At 42.8% G+C, this 27,845-nt stretch overlaps 1 protein-coding gene across 3 annotated transcripts in view, besides 2 other annotated features; it reads left to right on the top strand.

Moving 5' to 3' along the window:
* Positions 360 to 449: a silencer, noted in NCBI's record as "silent region_2005". NCBI's record gives its function as "represses an Ori minimal core promoter by ATAC-STARR-seq in GM12878 lymphoblastoid cells {active_cell/tissue: GM12878}" and the evidence as "EXISTENCE:reporter gene assay evidence [ECO:0000049][PMID:35858748]".
* ACTN2 (actinin alpha 2) overlaps positions 504 to 27,845 on the top strand; it is a 78,133-nt gene continuing 50,791 nt past the window's right edge. For all 3 annotated transcript variants that reach the window (NR_184402.1, NM_001278343.2, NM_001103.4), the window contains exon 1: positions 504 to 804. Coding sequence is in view for 2 of the 3 variants with exons in the window: in NM_001278343.2 (NP_001265272.1) it covers positions 679 to 804 (126 nt within the window). In the remaining variant the exon portion in view is untranslated. The remainder of the gene's footprint in view (positions 805 to 27,845) is intronic.
* Positions 2,088 to 4,420: an enhancer, noted in NCBI's record as "VISTA enhancer hs2135". NCBI's record gives its function as "enhancer in: heart[3/5]" and the evidence as "EXISTENCE:transgenic organism evidence [ECO:0001131][PMID:17130149]".

Here is a 27,845-nt window from a genome sequence, read left to right on the forward strand (position 1 = left end):
GAGAGGGACCGATGAGCGGAAAGAGAGGCACGAGAGAGAGATGAGAGAGAGAGAAGAGGGGTCTCCAATGAATATGTGGGAATATATGGAAAACGCGAATATCCAAATGATATTTGGAAAACTTGGCTGTGTTGGGGTGGTCAGGGACCCAGCCTCTTAGGTGTCCCTCCCCTGGCTCGCGATCACCCACCCGGGACACCGACGGACCCCGCGCCGCTAACCAGCCGCTCTCAGAGCGTGGGTGGCAGGCGTGGCTCTGCTCGGGGCCGGCCGCTCCCCTCACGTTCCCGGAGGCCTCGGCGGAAGGCGTGCAGGCGGCCTCTGGGCGGCGGCTGCAGGGGAGACAGTGGAGGGGCCCGGCGCCCTTGTCCGCCCGCACGTGCTCGGGGCGGGGCGGCTGGGGCCCGACGGGCGGGGCCGGGGGCGGTGGCGGCGGGGGCGTGGCCGGGCGGCCACGTGACGGGCGGCGCGGCTATTAAGCCGCGCGGCAGCTGCTCGCAGCCGGAGCTGGTGCTTCGCCCGAGACCCAGCGCCCAGGCGTGTCGCCCCGAGAGGAGCCGCGCGAAGGTCACCCCGCGCCCGCCGCCCGCCGCCCGCCGCCTCCGTGGGTCCGTTTGCCAGTCAGCCCGTGCGTCCGAGCCCCTCGCGCCCCGCCGCAGCCCCGGCCAACCGAGCGCCATGAACCAGATAGAGCCCGGCGTGCAGTACAACTACGTGTACGACGAGGATGAGTACATGATCCAGGAGGAGGAGTGGGACCGCGACCTGCTCCTGGACCCAGCCTGGGAGAAGCAGCAGAGGAAGGTCAGCAGGGGCCCGCGGGCCGCCCGCGCGTGGTGGGGCCGGGTCCCCCGCGGGGCTCCCGTGCGCGTGGCCGCGTGGCCTGGCGACTGGCGAGAGGGCGCTTTGTGGAGGTGCTGTGCTGTCCTGTGCCCTCGCAGCCCCGGGGGCCCCTTAGGAAAGAGGACACGTCCGGGGACAGGCAGGACACTGGGCGTCGTGTGTGTGCGCGCGCGCTAGCAGCATCGGAGGTACAGATGTGGTTCTGTTCCTCACACCAACCCGCGTTAGACCAGATCTGAAGGGGTCTCTGGTCTGCTCCTGACCCCTTGAGTCTGTGACCTTGGCCCCCGAGTTATACTCTCCTGGCCCGCTTGTGTCCATTTACCCCAGCCTCTCTCTTCCCCATTGAAAGAAGCAAAAGAACATCAGCTTCATTGCAATTTCCACCGGGCTGCCCCTAGAGTCATGGAAAGTCATTTATTCAATCTTTTGGGTTCCTTGGAGAGGGATGTTGTATGAACACTAGACATTTACCGATAGTGACAATTATTTCACACTCTATTTATAATTCATTGAGGTAAGCACACAGGGACGAAGGAGTCAGCCAGCTTCTAAAAGCTCCCTCCCCATTTTGATTGGCGTTCTCTGGGGGCCCAGTGGAACATTCCACTTTTTCAAGGTTTCCTCTTGATCCTCTTGGCTGGAATAAATAGGGAATGCTCACCAGGAGGCTTAATCCCGCCTCTTACTTGACTAGGCAGGGAGCCTGGTTGGGTCAGACATGACAACAGAGACCTGCCAACCCAACCTTAAGATAACGGGGTTATGGCAAAAGCCAAACGCTCTGAACTTTTTTCCGCCTATTTTTCTGGGCGTGGGGCAAGATAGATTTCCCTTCTAAGGACCTGCTTTAGGTGGATAGCCTGTGGTGACCATAGTGTGTATGGGAATCTCTGTATAATGGGTACTGTAGCTGATTGTGCGATAGTATTTGGTGAATAGGGGTATGATGGTGGAGAACACACATCCCAAACTCCTCTCGCAGCAAACAGCGTTAGCTGGAAGGAGAGATGATTATCAAATAACCAAGCACTATTTTTATATCAGGATGTCTCTTGTCTACCCTCTCTCCTAAAATACCATTTACTATTATTATTTTAAAGCTCTAATTTAGCTACATTTCAGTCTCTCCCCGAGTTTCTTAAGGCTTTTACCATCCCTACCTTTCTTAGAAAATGGGAGTAATAAATAGAAAAAAACAAAACTTCAAGCCGTCTACTATTGTTTAAAGGACTGATTGTGAAGGAAGTACGAGGCATGAGGATTACTAATGTGTCATCTGGACCAGCTGATGCATCATCCATCAGCACGAAGTTAAAAAGTGACTTTAATTTTTAGCAGTGAGTGTTTTTTTTTAAAAGAATTTCCCCAAATTTTGATTACTGCACTTTTCATGGATTAAAAAAAAAGATAACTCCCGGGTCTTTGTTTTAAAAATTGCTTTCTTATGAGGAATTGTAAAATAGCTAAGGAATTGGACAGGTAGTCTGCCCATCATTTTTGAAAGTGATGGTCTAATCACAGTGCTTTCTGTTGCCTTTTTTTTTTTTAAGTACAGTACAGTAGCAGGATAGAGGTAATGACAGTTTCCAGAGGCCACATTGACATCCCTTCTGCCATATTTAATCTTTTAACTTATTTGCAGTATTTTTGGATATATGGCTTCGAATTCTTTTAGGTTTGGGATTCCTATGTTGACTGTATTATTATAATTGCATAGCACTTGAAGTAAAGTTGATTATTTAAAAATAACATACTTCCTGATCCCAGTCCAAAATAATGTTAGAAAGTTTAAGGTGAGAATTTTTTTTAAGATAGTTTGAATGTTGTACATGCTTGGGGGGCAAAAACTACATTAGGAGAGATCTAGAAGATTCTCTATTTCTACTTTTGGTATAGACCCTGCTCAAGTCAGTAAAATAATATTGAACTGTGAGCTCAGTGTGGCCAGAGCAGTGGCCTCTATTTATGTCCCATGAGACAAACTGCTGGAACCGGACAAGGGTAAAATACCATTGTTTCTATTGTGGGCTGCCTTCTCCACACTTGCCATTTCAGTGATATGCTGGGTATGAGATCTGTCAACAGATGCTGGTAGCACATGATGACGTCCGTGGCGTTATAATGGATGTGATGCCTAATTATATCTACAGTTCAGAGAGTCTCATGGGCTATGGTAATCCTTGCTCTGTGGTGTGGAAGGAAAGCCTTGCTGTAGAAGGACTTTATAAAAGTGTAATGAGTTTTATAAGAGAAGGGAATGCAGAAGATAGTGGGTTTAGCATGAGTGCGAATAGGCGTTTCAACGTGTCTACCTTCTCTTTCAAGAGTGTGTTAGGAAGAGTGTGTTACACAGAAGAGTGTGTTAATAGGGTTAGGAATATTTATATTTTCTATAAAGAAGTATTTTAATTCATACAACTCAAGGGTAGAAGAAAAATGCCTGCAGTATTACAGATGTGATATATATATATATATATATATATATATATATATATATACACACACATATGTATATTTTATATATATATATAAAATATGTAATGTTTAGAGACAGGATTTTTCTCTGTTGCCCAGGCTGGAGTACAGTGGCATGATAATAGCTCACTGTAGCCTTGACCTCCTGGGCTCAAGTGACCTCCATGACGTCAAGGCATGCACCACCACACATGGCTAATTTTTTTATTTTAAAAACTTTTTTTGTAGAGACAGGGTCTCACTGTGTTGCCCAGGCTGGTCTTGAACTCCTGGCCATTCTCCCACCTTGGCTTCTTAAAGTGCTGATACTAAGGATATGAGCCACGATGCTCAGCCCCAGATACAATATTTTAAGACACTGAAATGCTGAGACACACTCTTGGAGTTAGAATGTTCTACCATATAGAACACAGTTTAGGGATATCAATTTCTAAGTAAATTGGGACCTCTTCAGTGGACTGTTGAAACTTTTAGAGTGTTGGTGTCTAGAAGTAAACATCTCCTGGAACCAAGGAACACATAGAGCTTGTACCTCAACTGAAGCCTAATTGGGAGGTGACTTGTCAGAGCAGCAATGCTGAATATGTTTGCTATCTTCACAAGCTCAGGACGCTGTCCTTAACTGTACTGGGAGGCTAGAGCAGACCTTTTAAGGACACGAAATATGTGTCGATACGTAAAGGGTCCTTATGTCCATAATCAGTCCGTGGCTTGATGATAGATAAACTTTTCTAAGTGTTCTGATTGTTTTTAATAGTCCCTAAAGAAATTCAGATTCTTCTGTACTCTTCACAGTTGAGATGGCTGGATTCACCTTGGAGCACCTCCTGTCAGTCTGGCATTTAGGCAAATGTGTTGCCATGTTGGGTCAGGCAGCCTGGCAGGATGCGTGTACAGAGGCAGCCGCCCACAGGGTTCGGATTAAATAGAGAGCCTGGGAGCCTTCGAGTTGCCCCTGCCCTTGTTCTGTGGGCAGCAGCTGCTGATTTAGAGCACAAGGTGAAGGCTCTTCCTGCCTAATGACACATACTCTTGCATAAATTTTTCCTAGGAGAAAAGGCACTAATTGTTTGTTCCAATGATTAACAGAAAGCTTGTGACATTTCTCAGATTCATGAGACCCAGATGAGTCGAAGCTCTGCCTGGTACCCGACTACAGTTGAATCACTAAATGTTTCAAGTCTCAATTTCTTCACCTAGAAAATGAAGATAAATACCTGTCTTTCTTAACTCACAGGGTTTTTTGTCTGGATCAAATGGTTAAACTGTTTTATGGTGAAGCGGCTTTATACATTGTAAAGTGATCTGTAAATGTTCAAATATTATTATCCTTGTGCGCCGAATATTTGTTAATCAGCACTGCGCTTAGACTTGTGAGGGACTTGTGAGCATGAGATTTGGCCCTTGGTGACCTTGATGTACTTTGAAAATTGTGGGGAAATACACATAACAGAAAATGTATCATTTTAATCATAAGTGTACAATTCAGTGGTGGTACGTCTATTCACATTGTTGTACAACCATCACCACTCTGTGTCTCCAGAACTTTTCTATCATCTCACATTGAAACTCTGTACCCATTAAAAACTAGCTTCCCATTCCCCCCTCCTCGGGTGTACTTTTTTTTTTTTTTTTTTTTGAGACGGAGTCTTGCTCTGTCGCCCAGGCTGGAGTGCAGTGGTGTGATCTCAGCTCACTGCAGTCTCCGTCTCCCGGGTTCAAGCAATTCTCCTGCCTCAGCCTTACAGTAGCTGGAATTACAGGTGCTGGGTAGCTAGGATTACAGCTGGCTAATTTTTGTATTTTTAGTAGAGACGGGATTTCACTGTGTTAGCCAGGATGGTCTCCCATCTCCTGACCTTGTGATCTGCCCACCTCGGCCTCCCAAAGTGCTGGGATTACAGGCGTGAGCCACTGCACCCAGCCTGGCGTACTTTTAAAGATAGGATTTATATACTGGAACACTTGGAACATAAGAAATTGTTTAATAATAAGTGCATATTTAACAAGAAATTGTTTAATAATAAGTGCAAGAATAAAAGTTAGCCGGGTGCAGTGGCTCATGCCTGTAATCCCAGCACTTTGAGAGGCCAAGGTAGGAAGATTGCTTGAGCCCAGGAGTTTGAGACTGGCCTGGGCAACACAGCAAGACCCCGTCTTTGCAAAAAAAATAAAAAATTTAGCCAGGTGTGGTGGTGCACAGCTGTAATCCTACCTACTTGGGAGGGTGAGGCCAGAGGATCATTTGAGCCCAGGAGTTTGAGGTTGCCGTGAGCTGTGATCGTGCCGCTGCACTCCAGCCTGGGCAACAGAGCAAGACCCCATCTCAAAAAATAAAAAAATAATAAGTGTAGTATAATAAGTGTTTACCTTTGACACTATCAAAGCCCTTTTACATCCCTTCACTCACCCTTTCATCAAGAGATGGGAGAAGTTCAAAGGTAAGAGTATAGAAGGAGAAAGTAACCAAGGTGGCTAGACCAGGACTCAGGTCTCCCAAAGCCTAGCTCTGTATCGGATATGTCTGTGGCTCATGGTGTGTTTGTGCACGTGTGATAGGGAGATAATACCCGATGCTAAAGATGCATATTCAAACTTAGAAAGTTGGATCCACGAAAAAGGGCCAGGTTATAGAGGGCCTGGGATGCTAAGGTGAGTGCAGACTTCATTCTCCAAGACATGCAGAGCTCCAGAGGTTTTTTGAGCTGGGAAGACCCATGCTTACAGAACTAGTATTGTTGGTGAGATAAATCTGAGTGGACAAGGGCCTGAGGCTGGGGGACCCAGGCAAAAGCCTGTTATGGGACCATCCAGATAAAGTGGTGAGGATTAGAACAAGGGGGCTGTTAGAAGCAGTGGTGAGGAAGGCATCAATTTGAGAGTGATCAGGAGGGATTATACGAAGTATTAAATAACCACATGTTGTTCCACAGTAGGCTGTGGTATAAATCCAATTAAGTAGATATGATCCTCCCCATTAGAGCTCCTGGGCTTTAATGTCAAGACAGTGGTATTGACAAGCAACAACCAAACTAATGAGGAGAGTCTGTTTATCCACTGGGAGATTGTGTCTGGATAAGAAGTTAAGTATTTACAGGATGTGTCATTATTCTGTGCAGGGAAAGGAGCCACCGTGCTGAGGTGGCAAATCCGGTGTCCATGTGGCCATTGCTGGGAGGGAGAGGTGGAATTGTAGATAGTCTTTGAGAGCCAGAGAAAGTTCTTAATGGGCAGAAGTGTCAAAGAAGAGGTTAAAGGCAGGGTCTTGTGTGGGCACTAAGAAACCTCTGCACCCAGAGGGACTGTAATAAATATACATGTGGTTTGCTACGGAGAATCACAGGTGCAGGAGTTCTGAGGCACAAAAAACACTCTTTGCTTTTACATCCTATTTGGGACACCGTGATGTGTCCCGGGGTTGCCCTAGGCCTTCAGCCACATTCACCAGGTAAGAAACTTAAGCCCATTATAAGATTTTCCAGAGTGTGGGAGGAGGAATATAACTCTTAGCAGGGAAACTTAATTAACGCAGCCTCAGAAAACTGTCAGAAAGCACCGCAGTCGGTTGCTGCAGCTGGGAGACACCTACAGAAAAGGCGCAGTTCTGGAGTGGGTGAGGGTGCTACCATGATGAGCAGAGGAGTTCACACGGAATGCGTTGGAGGACAGTCAGAATCCTACCGCCGTTTCCCTGGGAACGGCACTAAGTCTTCCAGAAAGAACAGAAAGCAGAGATTGGGGGAGACGCTTGCAAACTACTATGCTAGACAAATTTCAAAGGAAGGAAAACCTTAAGTGCAAGAATTTGGCCTTTCTGAAGAAGACTGAGGAAAATTTTTGGTACAAACATCTGCACACATGCACACACACACACACACACACACACACACACACACACAGAGTTTTCTAGATTGGAAACTACAAGGTGTTTTTACCTGCAACCCTGGTGAGGAGCAAAATATAAATGGAACACAAGCATGATGGTTCATTCTTTCATTCATTTGGCAAACATTTTTGTAGTCCTAGGGACCAGCAGAGAGAGTTGATGACACCACCATGGCCCTTAAGGAGCTTACAGCCAAGTTCAAGAGACAGGAGTGGTCTGTGAGAAGCACAGAGGAGGGGCATCTGCTTCAGCCAGGCTGGTGTAAGGAAGGTGTTTTCAAAGCCAAAGGTGTTTCAAACCCTCCTGCTTGGTTCCCCTTCATGGTGAATGGAAATGTCTTTCTTCCAGGCGCCCAAGCCAGAAACCCGAGTGTTACCCTTGCCCCCTCCTCCTCTCCCACACCACGGCCGTTGGGTCACCACCTCCCGTGGAGTCCTCTGGACCCTGCCTCTTCCCCTCCCTGTGTGCTCCAAGGCCTTCAGGCTTTCCACCTTCCCTGCGGAGATGAGGGTGGTGGCCTCCCTTTTTGTCACCCTTCCAAGGGTCATGCTCGTCTGCTGGCTTTTCTCCAAGATGCTGCCAAAAATGATCTTAATAAGACACAAGCCTGGTTGTGATATTTTCCTGATTCAAGTGTCTCTGTGGTTCTTGGTTGCCTTCAGGAGAGAGTTCAAGCCTCTTATGGTGGTTTGTGAGGCCAGGCCTGAACTAGCCCCATCGTCTGTTCATTCACCACCCCAGTATCCCTGCTGCAGGTTTTTAAAGATCTCATGTCCCTGATTGCCTGTCACTGTGTCTGACTCGAGCCCTTGTCTCTTCCATAGACCCTCCCTCCTCCACCTATCTTAGTAGTACCTCCTTCTGCAGCTGCTTTACTGAGAGGTCTGCCTTCTAGAGCAGGGGTCACCTGATGCTCTGTCTCCCCAACAAGGGCTATGAGCAGTAGCTCTTCTCTGTAGGTCCCTGTGCCTCATTGGACTCACACAGAGTCTGCACTGACATTTTTTTTTTTCTTTTCTTTTTTTTTTTTTTTTGAGACGGAGTTTCACTGTCGTTGCCCGGGCTGGAGTGCAATGGCACAATCTCGGCGGCTAACCACAACCTCCGCCTCCCAGGTTCAGGTGATTCTCTTGCCTCAGCCTCCTGAGTAGCTGGGATTACAGGCATTTGCCACCACGCCCGGCTAATTTTTTTATTTTTAGTAGAGACGGGGTTTCTCCATGTTGATCAGGCTGGTCTTGAACTCCAGACTTCAAGTGATCCACCCGCCTCGACCTCACAAAGTGCTGGGATTACAGGTGTGAGCCACCACGCCTGGCCCGCACTGACATTTATTGAATGAAGAAATTATGAATCATTTCTAAGAAACGTTTAGTACAATTACTTTTTAAATTAAAAAAACTTTCATTTTAACAATTAACATCTTTTTTGGCAGTCTTTATGACTTTTTGAGCTCTGAATGTGTTAACTCCCAACTCATACTCATTTAATGCTTTTTAAAAATGTTCTCTTGAAGTATTTTCTCAGGTCCCCGAAAAGAGTTCCCTGACTTGATTTTTATTGTAAGTCTGAGCTGTCGAGGCCGGGTGTGGTGGCTCATGCCCATATTCCCAGCACTTTGGGAGGCTGAGGCAAGGCTGTCTCTTGAGGCTAGGAGTTAGAGAGTGTCCTGGGCAACATAGAGAGACCTTGTCTCTACAAAAAAAATTTAAAAATTAGCCGGTATGGTGGCGTGTGCTTGTAGTTTTAGCTACTTGGGAGGCTGAAGTGAGAGGATTGCTTGAGCTCAGAAGTTTGAGGCTGCAGTGAGCTATGATGGCACCACTGCACTCCCGCTCTGGGTGACAGAGTGAGAAATAAGCTTTTCGTTAAAAAATGTTCAGGCCGGGCACAGTGTCTCATGCCTGTAATCCCAGCCCTTTGGGAGGCTGAGGCAGGTGAATCAGATGAGGCCAGGAGTTTGAGACCAGCCTGGCCAACACGGCGAAACCCAGTCTCTACTAAAAATACAAAAAAAAAAAAAAAATTAGCTGGGTATGGTGATGTCTGCCCATAATCCCAGCCACTTGGGAGGCTGAGGCATGAAAATCACTTGAACCTGGGAGGCGGCGGCTGCTGTGAGCCAAGATCATGCCACTGCACCCCAGCATGGGAGACAGAGTGAGACTGTCTCAAAAAAAAAAAAAAAAAGTTAAGAGATGTGCTGTGTCTGAAAAAAAAAAAAAAGAACATCAATAATTGGAATTTAGAGCTTTTAGAATTGAAAAAATAATTATACAGATTTATGTATATCATAATAAAATTTGTCACCATATTTATGAGAAAAAGTTCTGGTAACCTGAATTTGATTTGAAATGAGTTCCCCCCCCCTGCCCAGATTGAAAACCTTCACCCACTTAATAAAGAAAATTCCAAGTTCATTTATGATTCAGAGACGTATAAATTTAAATTTGTTTTTGTATAGAAAACATGGGGAAATTTTTTTGAAGATGCAGTGTGCTTCACAGTGCTGGAATTGGAAAATGGAGACAAGATTGCAGGTGATTCTGTGGTCCTGGGAAAGAACTGGCATATGCAGTCTTCATACATGCCAAGCCCTAGACCAAGAAGTTGGCATAACTTTGATTTGTCTTATTTGTTTTTGCTAGGGGGTAAATGTGTTGGTCATAGTCTTTAGAAATTATTATACACTGAAAACAGATTCTTATTAGTATCCATTACAACCTTTTCATAAAAAGCCATGCTATCTTAGAAAAGACCTATATTTTATTAGTGAATGTGAGAACCAAATGTACAAATAGGTGAATATGAGATTGTTTTGGGGCCAGGCGCAGAGGCTTAAGCCTGTAATCCCAGCACTTTGGGAGGCCGAGGCAGGCAGATCACATCAGGTCAGGAGTTCGAGACCAGCCTGGCCAACATGGTGAAACCCCATCTCTATTAAAAATCCAAAAATTAGCCAGGTGTGGTGGTATGCGCCTGTAATCCCAGCTACTCGGGAGGCTGAGGCAGGAGACTCATTGGAATTGGAGTGAGTGAGCTGCACTCACAGCTGGAGCGCAGTGAGATCGTGTCACTGCACTCCAGCTTCGGTGACAGAAGAAGACTCTGTCTCAAAAAAAAAAAAAAAAGATTGTTTTGGGGGAATGGGAGCAGTATTTAATATGAAGCTATGATTGAGTTTTGCAAAGGTAGTTATAATTGAGATTGCAAAGACAAATCAAGAAATCCTATCTTCTAAAGTCATGTGGAGTCTTTAAGTTATTTTGTTATAGTCAAACAAGATGTGAAGATGACAATTAACTTTTAGAAGGTAGGTAATCTCATTGCTGTTTATGAGGATTTTAAGATAATTTATATGTAAGATAGAACGATATGAAATACTTGATGCTGACCATTTTGACCTCCAAAAATTACAGTCTCTTTATTTCAACCCAAACAACTTTACTGCTGTTGTCCCACTATTTTTTTTTTTTTTTTTTGAGATGGAGTCTTGCTCTGTCGCCAGGCTGGAGTGCAGTGGCGCAATCTCGGCTCACTGCAACCTCCGCCTCCCGGGTTCAAGCGATTCTCCTACCTCAGCCTCCTGAGTAGCTGAGACTACAGGCGTGCGCCACCACGCCCAGCTAATTTTTGTATTTCTAGTAGAGATGGGGTTTCACCATGTTAGCCAGGATGGTCTCGATCTCGACCTCGTGATCCGTCCACCTTGGCCTCCCAAAGTGCTGGGATTACAGGCATGAGCCACCGTGCCCGGCCATTGTTGTCCCACTATATTTGATGCCCTTGACCAATACCACAAAATAGCCAGGCTGTAAAACTGAATTCTAATCATTTCTAGCCTTATCTCTAATGTCTTTGGTATTCATTTGTAAAAGTAAAGGGGCTCTTGAGTTTTGTAGAAGTTAAAAATGTGGGATTTGAAGCCAGGTACAGCAACCTGGTGAAACCCTATCTCTACAAAAATACATAAGTCAGCCAGGTGTGTTGGTGTGTGCCTGTATGCCCAGCTACTCAGGAGGCTGAGGCAGGAGGATGGCTTGAGCTGGGGAGGTTGAGGCTGCAGTGAGCCATGATTACATCATTGTATTCCAGCCTGGGCAACAGAGCAAGACCCTGTCTCAAAAAAAATATGGGGAATTTGGATTGAGGGCTTGATATCCAATGGATAAAAGAGAAAAGTCAAGGCTGGAGATTTAGGTACGGAAGTTATCTACATATGCAATGGCTGCAACTCTGAGGGGATAGGTGGAAGAGGATCTACCCAGAAGGCACTAAAGTGAGCTAAGACTAGAGGACTCCTAGAGGAAGCAATGTTGGGAACTGAACATGGAAGTCTTGCTTTTCTGGATGAAAACATCATGTATTAGACAACTTGGAACCATCTGAACTGTCAAGATGTCTTTGATTTTCTTTCTGGAGAAATCTCACCTTGGTATTCTATTGGAACTTTGCCAGTTGGCTTGAATCTGGCATTGAAGTTGGTTTAGTTACTGGAACAGAAACCAAAGCTTTGGTGCTGTGGAATGCAATATCTTTTAGCTCACGAAACAAGTTCTTTTTTTTTTTTTTTTTTGGAGACAGAGTCTTTTACTCTGTCACCCAGGCTAGAGTGCAATGGCACGATCTTGGCTCAATGCAACTTTCGCCTCCCAGGTTCAAGCCTCCTGCCTCAGCCTCCTGAACAGCTGGGATTACAGGCACCTGCCATCATGCCTGGCTAATTTTCGTATTTTTTTTTTTTTTTTTTTAGCAGAGACAAGGTTTCACCATGTTCATCAGGCTGGTCTTGAGCTCCTGACCTCAGGTGATCCACCTGCCGTGGCCTCCCAAAGTGCTGGGATTACAGGCGTGAGCCACCGCACCCGACCCAGACAAGTTATATTTTCAAAGGAAGCAAAAAACTATGAATTTACTTACGGTGGTGTGCTCAAGTCTGTGACATAAAATTCTTCTGCACTCAGAATGGTCATTGATAGGCTTTGCTAAAGAAGGCTTTATTGAACATTTGTAAGATGCCTTAAAAAAAAAAAACATGATGTAGAATTAAACTCCAAGATAGGACTTCCTTTTTCAGTTGTATCATTTATAGAATTAAGGAAATGAATTATTGTTCTCATTTAGATGTTTTGTTTTAAGGTTTTAAAACATATTGTAGATGTTTTGGGTGTCAGAAAGAACAGTCATGAAAATCGTAAAAGCCATATAGAAAACCGTAATCCACTTAGAGATTATGTGTAGAGGGCAATATTTTTCTGTTTTGAAACAAACACATTTTTGAGGGGAGGCAGGTATTCAGGTGGTCAGATTAGAAAAATACAAACCATGCGTTTTGTGTTTTATAGACTGTAATATTTCCATTCTGTTATTGTAATTTTATGAAATATAAGGTGGCTGATTATTTTATTGCATATTTGGCCTTTCATGTTAGAATTTGGAGCAGAGGATGTTGTAATTTTTTTCAGTCTAACACTAAAGCCAAAAAATATTCCGATCAGACAGTAAAAGTGATAATATGTGGATTTTTACCAGTGAATTGAAAAATGAGAGATTTTCACATATTATTCCTAGTATCCCAAATGATTTGCTGAAGAAGACAGAGAAACAACTATTATTGAGAAATTCCAGGCACTGTTTTAACCTTATGTATGATTTTACTGGATCTTCACAACCATCTTGAAAGGTGAATATTATCTTCATTATTTTAGCTAGGCTCAAGTTAAGTGAGTTGCCCAGCAGTGGTTGAGGGTGGGGAAGTGGTAGCCGGAAAATGCACACAGAATTTTGTCTAATGTATGTAGAAATAGTTCTCTCCTATAATTGAAATTTTATAAATATGGAGATACTAATTATTTTATTGCATATTTTTGGTCTGAAAGTGGTAGAGCTGGATTTCAGATCCAGGCTGCTTAACTGTAAGGGTCTTGATTTTTATCACTAAACTTTATCTGTTTTTGTTGCTTTCTGCTCGGATTTGTAACCAACCCAGAGCAGAAGCCTGGGATTCAGTATTTCTGATTTTCCACTTACAAACCTCCTACCTTTGTGGAAGGGCATATGTGTGTGTGTGAATTTTTTAATTTCTAAACTGGTGCAACTGGGAATGTCTGATAACAGTGAGAAAACGGAATTTTGAGGCATGGTCCATATTGTCATTCCAAGATTTTCCCCCAGTCAAGCTTTAGGAGTTGCATTGTCCAACAGAAATACCAAAGTGGGAGGGAAGGGGCCACAGGAGAAGTCAGCTAAACTTCTTGAGAGTTTTAGGGGCCGTCCCATGAAGGGCACATTATCGGAGTGAATGCTGATATGTCTGACGCACTTCCAAAAGAAGCCCGGATGCCTGAGACACTGAGTCAACTCCCTTTTGGAACTAGAAAATGAGACTTTCAGAGGCAGGAGCATAGATTAGAGTTATCCTCCTACGGGTGCCGTGTCTTTATCTACAGGAATGCCCTCTCAGATCAGAGCTCCACAGGGACTGAGCCTAGCATCTTTTGAAATGGCAGTACTGAGAACTCACTTTGCAATTTAAAAAAATCCTGTTTATTTAAAGTTTTATTATGGGAAATTTTAATCATACCCCAAAGCAGAGAGAATATAATGAATCTCTCCGTATCCAGTAGGCCAAGGAAAAACCAAGCTTCATGAATAGGTGATGACTAAAAGGAAAATAAGTTTGAATGGTTAATAAAAACTTTGCTATGAAAGAAACTGGCATGAAGTAAAACTGTGAAGTAGGCTAATGAGTACTGCTTGTTGCTTTACCCTGTTTCAAAATCCTCTTTCCCAAGGCCCCCTACTTCCCACAGCTGCCTCTGGCCACCTAGGTCTGCTTCACCTGTACACCACCCCCAGACCCCACATTCTCCTTATGATTTTTCATGCACTTACTGTCATCATTTTCTATGCCTAAAAATGAAAGATTCCCAAGACCTGCCTTTCTAGGGATCACTGATATTTTTATTTTATTATTTTATTTTATTTATCTTATTTTTGAGACGGAGTCTCTCTCTATAGCCCAGACTGGAGTGCAGTGGCACCATCTCGGCTCACTGCAACTTCTGCCTCCCGGGTTCAAGCCATTCTCCTGCCTCAGCCTCCCGAGTAGCTGGGATTACAGGCATGCACCACCACACCCAGCTAATTGTCACTGATATTTTTAGAGGTGACTTTTCTGAGGCAATAACCCTGTTGTCTAATTCCAGTGAATTTCAGGCTCAGCGGAAGATGGGGAGGCCTGTATATGTGGGTGGCTTACCACAGTGCCCAGGTATGAAGTCAGTACTGGTAGTACATTTACTGTGTGTGAGGCACAGCCCTCTCCTCGTACTGCACCCTGATCTTATAAACTGACCCTCATCCCTATCAGGTTTATTGAGATGAGTCCTCCCTTAGCTCCACTGACCATTGCTGTTACTGCTTCGAGTGATAAGCCTGACTTTGAGACAGGAGGTGGGAACAATGTCTGAGGATGCTGAATTTGATACTTCTGCTTCTGTATTTCCTCCACCACCCCCGGAATACAGCCAGAGGAAGGAGCAGAACAGACATTGAAAAGGTTCTTCGGGAAAGGTTATTTTTAGGGGCCGTCTTGCCAAGACTGCTTCCGGGGAATTTATTTAGACACAGCAGGCCCCTGCCCTGTTAAAGATGTGAATTCCCACATATCTGGGAATGTTCTGGGTAGCCTCAGAAAAGTGCTGGGGGGCCTTTCATTTTAACCCTGAAAGATGAGAGATGGTGTGAGGAGCAGCACAGTAGCCGGTGACCTTGGGCAAGTCACTTCATCTGTCAGGGCCTCTGTTCCTTATGAAATGAACTGACACCAAGGTGGCTGGAGTAATTTCAGAGGTGGGGTGACCCTATCTCCAGGTTTGTCCGGGACAATCCCAGTTTGTGGCTTTTGTCCCAGAGGAATTATAAATAGCACCTCCTTTGACTCTCAGAAGTGGCCCAGTTTAGACTACAAACTTTGGTCTCCCTGTTCTGAGGACATACACAGGCAGCCTCATGGAAGGTTAAACTCATATTGACACCCAAGTGACTTTTTTTTTCCCCCAAGTAATTTGTACATAGGGTAGTAATGCCTTTTCTGAAAGTGCTGGCCTGTTTCTGGAACTTTAAAAATGGAAACATTGGTGAAGTGAGATTTTTAATACTTTGAGATATATGTATATATATCTCATATATAGTCTAGTAATTCTGAATCTTTTAATTCATAAATCTTTTAGAAGACCAAGCTTTGTAGAACACCGTGAAAGTGAGCCCTGTGACTGGAGGGCTGTGGGGCCACCAGCCCGGCTGAGTCCTCCTGCGGGCCAGGTTGCCCTCTGAAACGGGGTTGACTGTTATACTTTTGGTTTTGTATTATATGCTATGTATATGGTTTTATAAATGTCATTTATACTTACACTTTAGACAATTTGATGTTAATATGGGCCAGGCATTAATGACACTTATTTTACACATCTGCAAAATGAAGAGTTAAACCTTATTTAAAGATCTGGACCAGTTACCAAAGTCCTGTCTGTAGATTTGCTCTTTTGACAGTATGTCTTTTCTGAAAATTATAAGAATTTATTTCTATGTTCAGGCACTTGAAAATCTAGCAGTGAAATGGTGACAAATGTATTTACTGTGTGATAAATCATGTTGAATAGAACAAGTTCCCTCATTTCTATAATGAGACACAGGTAGGGCTGTCACCATGGAGGCCTTTAAGAACTTGGTAGGGAAGCAGGAAAAATCATGTCAGAAATGCCTGATGTGTGACGGTGAGTTCTATTGCTGTAACTGGTATCTGCGTAACTGGATATTAAGGACTCTAAAGGATTTCTATTCTGCAGTCCTAGGATAGGGCAGTCTGTACCCTTTCCAGTAGGATTTTAAAATGTGATATCAAAACAGGGATTTGAATGTGAAGCTGTAAAAAAAGTCTTGAAGTAGCGCTTCATTGAGCAAAATTAACTTCAGAACGCTAGGATTGCTGGATTGGATCCAAGTTAAGTCGTTTTTTTCCCCCTCCATTAGGAATATGGACGATTAATGAAGTAAAGCTAGCCGACATCATTACAGACAACTAGGGAAGGGCAAAGAAAATAACTTAGAAATCTAGGCTAATGAATGTTTATGCTCTCCTGAATTATTGTTTAAAGATATGTATTTAAATAATTGCGTAAGAAATACCTGTTTATTGTAGAATATTTAGGAAATATTACATTTTAAAATTAGAAGTTTTTAAATATTAAAAAAGTCACAACCTGGAGAAAACAAGTGTGTACATTTTGCCGAGTGCCTACTAGCTCACTTTATGCTATAGTCTAGAAGCATCTATTTATGTATTTTATACTCTAATATGCTATGGTCTGAAATGGCTCCAGATGTAAAGACTTTATTACCCATTTTCCTGAATACCAGTCAGCAGGAGCCCTGGGGAAGAACTCTTGGAGGAGGAAATCCCAGCTTGATTCCCTCCGGTGTGGAGTTGGCAGGAACATTGGAAATGCCCAGCTTCTCTGTTTTTATTGCATATGTTAATCAGAGTTTTCCCCATATGTAGGGGAAAGCTATAGCTGTACCTGACTGTGGGCTGTTCCTTACTTAGAATTGTTCTCTGGTCTGGGACAGCAATGCAGAGAATATGGTGTATTACAGAGAGCTGTTTCATTCTAAATGAATGCTTGCATCTCTGTGTGTAGGCAGCCATTTATTTGGGTCCCTGAAAATAGTAGCAGTATGGTGAACTTAAATTAAAGAATATTTATTTTGCTGTCTGTGTAGTACAAGCTGCTTCCCCAGTTGCCGGATGGGTTGAGAGGAGAATCATCAGTGTGCTTTTCTTTTAGCTTGAATTCATCCCTAAGAAGAGAATGAGGAAAGTACAATAAATGCTGCTGCTGCTGCCTAAAACTGAGCAACAGTTGGGTCTGCCCTGTCACAGAGCCACATCTTGCACGTAATTACCCAGGCTCCAAGGGAACAAGTTATTTTGAGAAGCATAGCTCAGGATCAATCAGATGTAAGGCTGTTTGTTGGGAGCCTTAATATGGTTACTTACCAGAAAGTCCTCAAAGGAATTCTCCACGTAGTTTGTGCCAGCCTGGGGGAGGCAGGTGTGACCCCACACAACATTCAGCTAGTGGCTAAGTCAGGCTCCTGGCTTAGAAAATCTTGAAGCTCAAATGACCAGGCACCAATAGCTTTCATGCGTTCCTTTGGGCCTACTACCTTTTTTTTTTTTTTTTTTTTTTTTGCCTTTTAGAGCAAACATGTCTTAGACTTTGATTCTAAAGATAATTTGATTTGGTTAGTTTAACATATGCTTCTAGCCCTAAAATAGTTTGGGAAGAATCTTCATATTTCTAGTCTTAACTCTTGAATTTAACAGTTAAAAGGTGGGGGAAGGGTTTCATCAGGATCATTTGCTAACCCTCATTTAGGAGAGATAATGCTCTATCTTTTTTTTTTTTTAATAATTAAAATCTTCCTTCAAGAATTTTAAAACGCCCTTGGAATTAATGTAGAGCTAGATTGAATTGCAAACTAGCTTCAGGAATCCACAGCTCCGAATGTTTGGTGACCTTGTTATGTTGCTTCACTCTAATTTGAGGATTAAAGACAGGTAGAGATAAGTAATTGCAGCTGAAAAATCAGAATTAGGAGACTGAGTATTAAGGACTCCTGCAAATGGTAATAAAATGTTTGTAGGAAATTTTCTTAAGCAGGAAGGAAATTAACAGATGGAAATACTTTAGCTTCTTGATAAATGTAAGATCTTTATGAAATAGGAAAAATGCTAAATAATTCAACCCAAATTTAGTATTATTTATGGTGATCAGGATAAGAGGGAACATGAGGATGCATACGGAGTTTTAAATGTAGAATTTGACGTGGAAAAGGAACTGCCTCAAGCTTCAACTTAAGACAGTCGTTAGTTTCACAGGACAAGGGAAGCGTACTGTAATTTGAGATCAACATATGATGGACTTCAGTTCTGTGTATCATTCCTGTGTATTAATCACTCTCTGTCTTCATGGAAGTTGAGTGTGGAAAAAACTCAAACTGTGTTTTCTCTTCTCACACCACAACAGTCAACCCAGAAGACTTCTGTGACCAAATGTGTGTGGTCTCCTCCCACTTTCCGCCACCCTGTACACCAAGCAGGCAATCTGTACACCAGCTGGGTGTACTCCAGTGTATTTGATTCTGACACTGTCCGTTTGGTGATAGCACCGGATCCCACAGGTTGAGGGCTCAGTCCCTCAAGACTGCCCCCCTTCAGACACCATCTCAAGTCCAGGCCTCCAGAACTAATGACCAACCAACTTAAAATTGGGGTTCTCATGCCTCTTTGGGTTTGATCAATTTGCTAGAGCAGCTCACAGAACTCAAGGAAACAGGTACGTATATTTACTGGCTTATGATATGAGAGATTTAAAAGGATACTGATGAGGAGATGCATAGGGTGAGGTATGGGGGAAAGGGGTGCATAGCTTCTATGCCCTCCCCAGCAGGTCGCCCTCCAGGAACCTCCACGTGTTCAGTTAACCTGGAAGCTCTCCAAACTCCATCCTCGTGGGCTTTTGAAGGAGACCTCACTGGATAGGCATAATTGAAGCTTGGAGAACCGTGGGGAAATGTGATTGGACAAAAAGGCTGTGATCTAATACTAATAGGCTGAGTGGGAAAATCCCCACAAGGCCTGTCTGTTCAGACTCTTCTTAGCCTGTCTGTGCAGCCTTCGTTTCTCCCAGGTTTGTGGCAGGACTCCTTCTGAAATGAGGGTCTTATGACCGACAGTCAGATAAGGTAGGTCAGATCATTGCTTTACGGCCAGCTCCAAGCCAGAAAGACAAGGGAAAATTAGAGTCCCTCCAGGGAAAGCCTGCTCCTGAGGCCTGAGCCACCCTAGCATGACAGCAAAAGACTGTAACAAGGGCTATGAGAGTTATGAGCCAAGAACAATGGATAAAACATATAAATATATACCTGTGTGTGTATAAATATATATATATAAAAAATATCACAGAAACTACTAAAATTTATATCAGAAAATGAATATTTTAGCTTATTGGAATGTGGGACTCTTCTTAGAAGAAAGACCCAGAAAGTATTAAAATACAATTCTCAAATAAAAGTAGAATCATGACTGTCATACAAATATAAAGATGAATATTTAAACATGTTCTTCAACTCATTAATGAGGAAACTGGTAAGCCGTTACAACCAGTCCAAAAGAGCATCCAAAGGGTAAGACACATTTGTGGAGCAGGAATGAAATGAATGTGCACATGGAGGGGCCCTTTTTTCTGTGGGAGGTGGAGTGTCCCTCTACTTTGATTTATTTGAATGTCTGTAGACAGAATTATTTTGCATTGCTATCAGTTGTCTGTGACCTGTAGATTTGTAGAAGAGCCTAGAAGGGCTGCTTATGGACAATGCAGAAGTTTCCCGTTGGAGCATAGATTTTTCCCTGTATAAAGTTGCCTTATCAGGCATTTCACCTTTCCAAATTCCATAGTTTCCATCCTTTCTGGAAGTTATGGGGGTGATTCCATATATCGGAGAGGTCATTCCTCAAACCAGTATTAGTCGGGGCTAGATTTGGCTTTGTTGAAAACCCTGAAAAGAGTGTTTCCTGTTATACAGTCTCAGAGCTTAGTGCCTTTCTTTCTGTATTTTGAATAGCCCATGGACTAAATGGAAATCAGTCTTGTGAGCCTGGCAGTGGAAGCCTGAAATTTGTGATGCAGAATTTGATTAAAACCAGACCTGGATAAGACAATCTTTTCAAGTGCTGGGAGAACCATCTTTAACCTCTCCACTTAAAGTGTCATCCATTAGCCTGATTCTATTTTTAGATACCCTCAGCTGTGAGGTTGCCTGTTATTTTTGCAAGGTATTTTCTTTTTTTTTTTTCTTGGCAAGATTATAGAATCTTTCTTAACATTTAAGGATTCTGTAGTTAAGTTTGACATGATAATAAGAAATTTTAAAAACCTGGAACTTGAGCAGATACACATTTTTAGCTTCTCAGGTTTCTTTTTATTAAAAAAAATGTTGACTTGTATCCTCTTTGATTGGTTCCAGAAAGTCTGACAAATGGATCTTATTCAACAAATAGTTACTGAATGCCACTGTGTTCTGGGCACTGTCCAGAGCCCAAAACAAAGATCCCTGCTTCTCTGTGTGTCACTTTCACCAGCATTTCTTAGAATGTTCAAATGGTGGTGGTCATGGGGCCTCGGAAAATGCTTGAGTTGTTTGTGAGCTTTCCTACCCTTTAATTTGAGATCATTAGATATACAATGGCATTGGGTAGAAAGAGACTCTGAATCCTGCATCCAGGCAGAGTTTGTTGGGGGAGAATCAACAGAACAGAAGGCTGCCTCTCTTTCTCTTACCTTGTCTTTGGGTATGTATCAGTGTATATTTCAGTGTCTATATCAATGTAACTGGAACTCAAGCTATTATTTTACTCATTACTTTTGATGGTAAAAACTGCAATTACTTTTGCACCAACCTAATAAAAGCAGCTTTTTGATACTGTTGAAGTTCCACTTTATTTATAACTGAGATCATCACAGTTTAAACTTGGAAGTATTGAAAACTTTAACAGGTACAAGCTCTGTGTGTGCGAATGCAGGCGCACCTGCTGGGTGCTGGGTTTTCTGAGTGATGGCAGAGGTGAATAAGGCAGGATTAGAGACTACCTTGTGTTGGGTTTTTTGATTAATAATACGTATGCATGCAGACATGTAACAGCCTGGGAAGCCGGTTGTGGGTCTTCCTTTTGCAATGGAAAGCAATGGGATTTGCCTTTTTACAAGAGTTAATTTTAAGGCTCTTTGGACATGGTGTATTATGAACCAAGTCATGATTCAAATGTCACCCATTATTTTAATTGTCCCTTAATAATAAGTTTATTTCAATTGCATGGGCAATATTTTTGCCCCCTATAGGTAAAAAAGGATGTTCTGAACACTTTCTAACCAGAGGAAATGAAGATATGTTAATGATGCTCTTTGCTCTCCAGCAGGGGTATGAATACTTGTGATGAATCTGGAAAAGATGAAGAATTGGCAGGGTTCTGGATTCTTAGATCAGAGACCTTCTTGCACCCCTTTTCTTTCTGCAGCAATATTCCATGAATTGTGCTAAGCAACAGCATGTTTTTCCTTAGTTATTGGAGGCGGAATATCTCCTATGCTCAAGTAGGCTTAAATCGTGACTATAGGCTGTCTTTATTTTTCTGAGCAATCTCGCCCTACCTGAGTAAGATTTTAGAATGATTTAATTCTCTTTCAGTTTCAACCCCACGGCACCACTCAAGTTTCTTGGAATTGCCGTCGCTGATTGCTCTTCTTTGTATTTCTATGGCACATAGAAATGTTTCCTAGTCGCTTATAATCCATCATACCTCACAGCAAACTAATTGAGTTAGATTCATAGTGCTTTTCTTTTCTTTTTTCTTTTCTTTCTTTTCTTTTCTTTTCTTTTTTTTCTTTTTTTTTTTTTTTTTTTTGAGATGGAGTCTCACTCTGTCACCCAGGCTGGAGTGCAATGGCACCATCTTGGCTCACTGCAACCTCCGCCTCCTGGGTTCAAGCGATTCTTCTGCCTCAGCCTCCCAAGTAGCTGGGACTACAGGCACAAGGCACCACGCCTGGCTAATTTTTGTATTTTTAGTAGAGATGGGGTGTCACCATATTGGCCAGGCTGGTCTCGAACTCCTAGACCTCGTGATCCACCCGCCTCGGCCTCTCAAAGTGCTGGGATTACAGGTGTGAGCCACCGCACTTGGCCATCATAATGCATTTCTTGGGGGAGGGAACAAACCACAGAGAGATGAGCTGACTTGTCCACACTAGACACTAAGCAGGTCACGAAGCCAGGGTTCAGATTTAAGGCCTGTGTTTTTTTAGGGATTGCTGGACTGAGCTGTTGCATACCATGTTATCTAACAGGACCTTGGAGACCAAGCAGAGATTCGTGGGCAGAGAATAAAAGGGCTGCTGCGTAGTTAGATGCCTAATTATGTAAGTTATGAGAACATTAAGGCCTCAAATGGACTTCCAGGACATCCTGATAATTGATTGTAGCACAAGCAAAATCCTTGGGATTAACACACTCATTTACATAATCCTTACTTTGATTAAATTTTTAAAATTTTGTGTGGATAGTTGAAAGGTGTATCTGAGTACTTGGCAACATTGAAGATTTGGAGGGATATTTTCAAAGTCATGATTATTCAGTTTTCGTTGTGCTGAGTGGTTAGTCACCAGTATGAGTGGCTTGTGGATCTAGAGAACTTCCTTGATATTAGTGTAGACTTTCTTGATTTTAATGTAGATGCCAACACTCTCTAAACGTTTTTCAAGACGGTTGAGTGTCTGAACATTTAAATGTAAGGTTGCTGCTGGTGATTCTGGGGCAGCTCATTGGTTGAGATGTTACTGCTTCCAGCGCAGTTCGTGTGATGTATGTACCTTTTGGGCCTTGCTGGCTGGGGGGATTGAGACGCTCTGTAGTGAACCAGTATGTTCTGCTCCACGCAGATTGCAGGACTTTTTGCCCTCACAGACGGTTAGGCCACCTACTCTCTATGAGGGCAGAGCCTCCTTTCTTAAGGGTAAAACGGAAATTGCATTTACTTTGGAGAGACGGCTTTGACCTTCCTCTTCCACTTTAGTCAGTGATTTTTACGACATATGCAGCTTTCCAGAGCCTCCTTACTTTTCTAATATTTAGAAAGAACCAGGAAACCGATTAGAGGTAATCTTGGCAAATTGGGAATTTGTGAAGTGGAAAAGAACACTATTAAAGTGATGGCTGTAAATAGAAAAATAAATGGAGCATTTTTAGAACAGCAGTTTAACAGAGCTGTGGTTTCCAGTAGTTTCACACGAGAGGGTGTTCAGAACCATCGTGATACAGGTAGTGTTGGCCGGCCTCTTTCTTCTCCTCTCAATAATCTTTTGAACTATTTCATAAAGCTGATCATGACAAATGACTGTATATATATATATATATATATATATATATATATATACACACACACACACACATATATATGTATATATATGTATATATGTATATATACGTATATATGTATATATATACATGTATATATATACGTGTATATATATATATACGTGTGTGTGTATATATATATATGTATGTATATCTGGGAAAGGATCAGGATGTGAAGGACAAATAATTGCATGGTGTCAGAGTCAGAAATACAATTCGAGTTCTGAGCCATGACTGCAGGCTGGACCGAGCTCTGCCTGTCCTCCATGCCCCATCTCGGGGACCACTGCCGCTGTAGCTGGGGCTTGCTTGTCCCACCCCACAGGATGCAGGTCGTGATGAGTGTTGGGGAAGGCTTGGAATTGACCAAGCAGACCTCTTGATGTCTCAGCTCCCTGAGGAAAGGAAATGATATGCAACTTCAACAGAGAACGCTCAGCAGCACCCCAGACCATTTTTCACCTGACAGACAATGCTGTCTTATAATTGGTAGGTTTAAAAGCTACATGTTCTTCAGGCCTGCTCACCCCTGAGTTTTCTGCTGTGCCTGGGTATCCCAGTCCTCAGCAGACTCTGGTTCATTTCACTCAGAAAGCCCTACGTCTGGGATGAGTTTCCATTTTAGGAAATGTGATCTGAAATGATTATTTTATGTAATTATTATTAAAGAAAAAGCTAGTTAAAGAAGTATAAAGGAAATGTATAGATATGTTGCCAAATTTTTTTTTTGGAGAAAATGGAATGATGAAGGTTGAACAGATAGTTTTACAGAAGCCAGCCCAGGCTTAGAACCGTATTGCTAAAAGAATTAATAATTCACTGATAAGTGAAATGGACTGATATTCAGGGAACCATGTCAGACTCATGATTGATTTTTCGGGTCCCCGTCTGTGTACCTAGGTAATAATCTCTTCTAGGTAAAATTGTGCACATGCGTAGTCAAAGAGGATGATGTAAATAATCACATTTTTCACTCATTTTGATTAAAAGACTTTTCCTACCCTTACCTTAGGGAATGTAGGTTGATATGATGTAGGCTTCATTAACTTAAAAAGAAATCAAATACAAATGCATAGCGATTGAATAACACTGGTTTGTCTCAACAATTCAGTAAGGACATGCACATTTTCTTTTTGCCGTTAAGCACATTGTGCTGATTGTCCTGTTACATAATTTCACTTTGAGAAAAGCAATACTCTTGTAGTTCCCATGGATTAGGGACTTTGCTAGCAAGTCCTCCAAGCCATTGAATGAGACTGACAATTGTAGCCAGCAAATGCTTCTGGAAAACCCCTTCAACTGATATTTCCTCAACCACCATGTTTTGGAGGTTGAGGAACATCCTCCGGGTCTCCAGATCAGGGGCTCACAACGCCCAGACTGTTGACTGGTACTGGTCCGTGACCTGTTAGGAACCGGGCTGCACAGCAGGAGGTGAGCAGCGGATGACCAAGTGAGCAGAAGCTGCTCCCCATTGCCCGAATTACCACCTGAACTCCGCCTCCTGTCAGATCAGCGGCAGCATCAGATTCTCATAGGAGTGCAAACCCTACTGTGAACTGTGTGCCAGAAATCTACATTGTGCGCTCTTTATGAGAATCGAATGGCTGATGATCTGAGGTGGAACAGTTTCAACCTGAAACCATCCCCCTTCCCTACCCCCCACCCGTGGAAAAATTGTCTTCCACGAAACCGGTCCCTGGTGCCAAAAAAGGTTGGGGACCGCTGTTCTAGATCATGTTCAGGAATATAATGGAGGCAGAGACTGCTGATCATTTGAGTATCCTTCAGTCCTTACACTTGAAAGCATCTGTATGACTCCAAGGCACGGGAACGTGGTGCCCAGGAGAGTTTCCATCTGCATCCAGGGAAGGCCTGTATAGCCAGTGGAGAGCATCTGCACCCACTGACTGCCCACCCTGGCCAGGGACTCACTGGTTGCAATTCTTTATGTTTAGGAAAGAGATCCTAATATTTGTTCCAGCTGTCTAAGGAATATACATAGTGAGACTGTCTTCCACCGCATTTCCATCTATAGAACACTGTTGAACACTGTTTTCCTTAGCTTTGTCTTAACTTCTGTGGTGGGTGGTAAGGACTAGAAACATGTCTTTTTATTTTTTATTTTTTTGCGACAGAGGCTCACTCTGTTGCCTAAGCTGGAGTGCAGTGGCACCATCTTGGCTCACTGCAACCTCTGCCTCCTGGGTTCAAGCGATTCTTGCCTCAGTCTCCTGAGTAGCTGAGATTACAGGCATGCGCCACCACGCCAGGCTAAGTTTTTATATTTTTAGTAGAGATGGGATTTCACCGTGTTGATCAGGCTGGTCTTGAACTCCTGGCCTCAAGTGATCCACCCACCTTGGCCTCCCAAAATGCTGGGATTACAGGTGTGAGCCACCACGCTTGGCCAGGACTACAAACATCTGTCTTTTCTTTCTGGGGATAGATGGTTTTGTGGCTTCCCATCTCGGTCTTCTTTTTGTGGCTCTGAAACTTTTTATGTGCCTACTTTTTGGGATGCTGAAAGTGTTTATATTTATGGCTAGGTGCAGAGAAACAGAGAATAAGCTGTTATTCAGGAGAGAGGTAGAGGAGGCTTTAAGTTGAAAACAAGAGAGGAGGTTGGAGGGTTCTGCATGTGTCAGGGCAGCTTCTGGATTGAGCTATAAGTTGAGGAGACATTGGCCTCTTTCTTCTGTGGTCTGTATCTGATTCAGTAAAGCAACATTTCCCTTAAGAAAGGACATATGGCTTGGTAATCTGTTTTAAGCCAAAGAGCCTGCCTCCAGAATTGCATGGACCCACTTTCATTTCCACTTTAGTTCTCTAAGGTTTAGTTTTCAAGAACCCTAAAGATGCATGTTGCGATACAAACAACAAGAAAGTTCACAAAGAAGGCTTCGGCTCAAATGTGTGGGGTTTTGTTGCTACTGTTGTTTTTATCTTATCCATGATTAACAGACTTTTCACAGAAACAGGGGTGATAGGGGATGCGTAGGAACAGTCTCCCTAGGCAATGGTAATTAAAACAGGAAATAGAATAAAAATTAAACATTCTAATAAAGCTTAAAATTCATTTTCAGAGGGCACTGGGCTCTTTATAAGCTATTACCACAGAACAGCTGGAGTCTTTTTTCTGCATTTAAGTTAGTCACCACCTTTGTTGACTCTTATGAGTATTCATTAAAGATAGGGAAACTTCATTAGGCTTAACTAAATAAATTGACCTTCTCTGGATTTGAACAAGTGGATAATTACCTATGGTAAATTACCTTCATTGTATATATATCTATAAAAAGGTAATATCAACTCAGGAGGCTGAGGTGGGAGGATCGCTGAGCCCAGGAATTCAAAGCTGCAGTGAGCCATGATAGCACCACTGCACTCCAGCCTGGGTGACAGAGCGAGACCGTCTTATCTCTTTACAGAAACAAACAAACAAAAAACAGGTACTTTCAAACAGACTTTCTGTGGTTTGGGGTCAGGAAGCTTGGGATTTCATGAGCAGCTTTTAGGGATATATCCAGAAGTGCTTCTGATGCCTGTATTATGAAGAGATTTAAATAACAGACAAAGTATGATGACTTTCACCAGCAATATTTGCCCACTTTTTAAGTAGAATTTAAATTTTAAAAATTTTATAAATGTTTATCTCATTATATGTTCTCTCCATCAGTTGCTTTTTTTTTTTTTTAACAACCTACTATTCTTTTGTGCCTTTCCCAAAAACTCAGGTATGTGATTAGTCTTAATATTGTCAGTTTTAAAAATTCCTTTAAAGTAATTTTACTTGCTGAAGATGGGGCCTGGGGTGTATTTTACTGTAATAACTTAATTATCCGGAAACAACCCAAATATTCGTTCATAGGGAGCTAGTTACATAAAATACGGTTTATACACTACAGTGGAATACTATACAGCCATAAAAACAAAGAATTTATACTGATATGGAATGATCTCTAGGTTATATATATTGTTCTTTTTTCTTTTTTTTTTTTTCTTTTGAGACGGAGTTTCACTCCTGTTTCCCAGGCTGTAGTGCAATGGCACGATCTTGGCTCACTGCAACCTCTGCCTCCCGGGTTCAAGCAATTCTTCTGCCTCAGCCTCCCGAGTAGCTGGGATTACAGGTGTGCATCACCATGTACAACTAGTCTTGTATTTTTTGTAGAGACAGGGTTTCTCCGTGTTGGTCAGGCTGGTCTTGCACTCCTGATCTCAAGTGATCCACCCACTTTGGCCTCCCAAAGTGCTGGGATTACAGGCATGAGCCACTGTGCCAAGCAAAGTATAGAACAATGTATATCCTATGATTTGTGTTAAAGGGACCAAAGGGAAAAAAAAGACGTGTGTCTGTGTGTTTATGTATACACAGATACCACTGAAGGGATATGCAAGAGACTGATAGCTTCATTCCTCACTGTGTGTTTATGTATACACAGATACCACTGAAGGGATATGCAAGAGACTGATAGCTTCATTCCTCACTGTGTGTTTATGTATACACAGATACCACTGAAGGGATATGCAAGAGACTGATAGCTTCATTCCTCACTGTGTGTTTATGTATACACAGATACCACTGAAGGGATATGCAAGA

This window comes from Homo sapiens, chromosome 1, assembly GCF_000001405.40.
Source record: "Homo sapiens chromosome 1, GRCh38.p14 Primary Assembly".
NCBI lineage: Eukaryota > Metazoa > Chordata > Mammalia > Primates > Hominidae > Homo > Homo sapiens.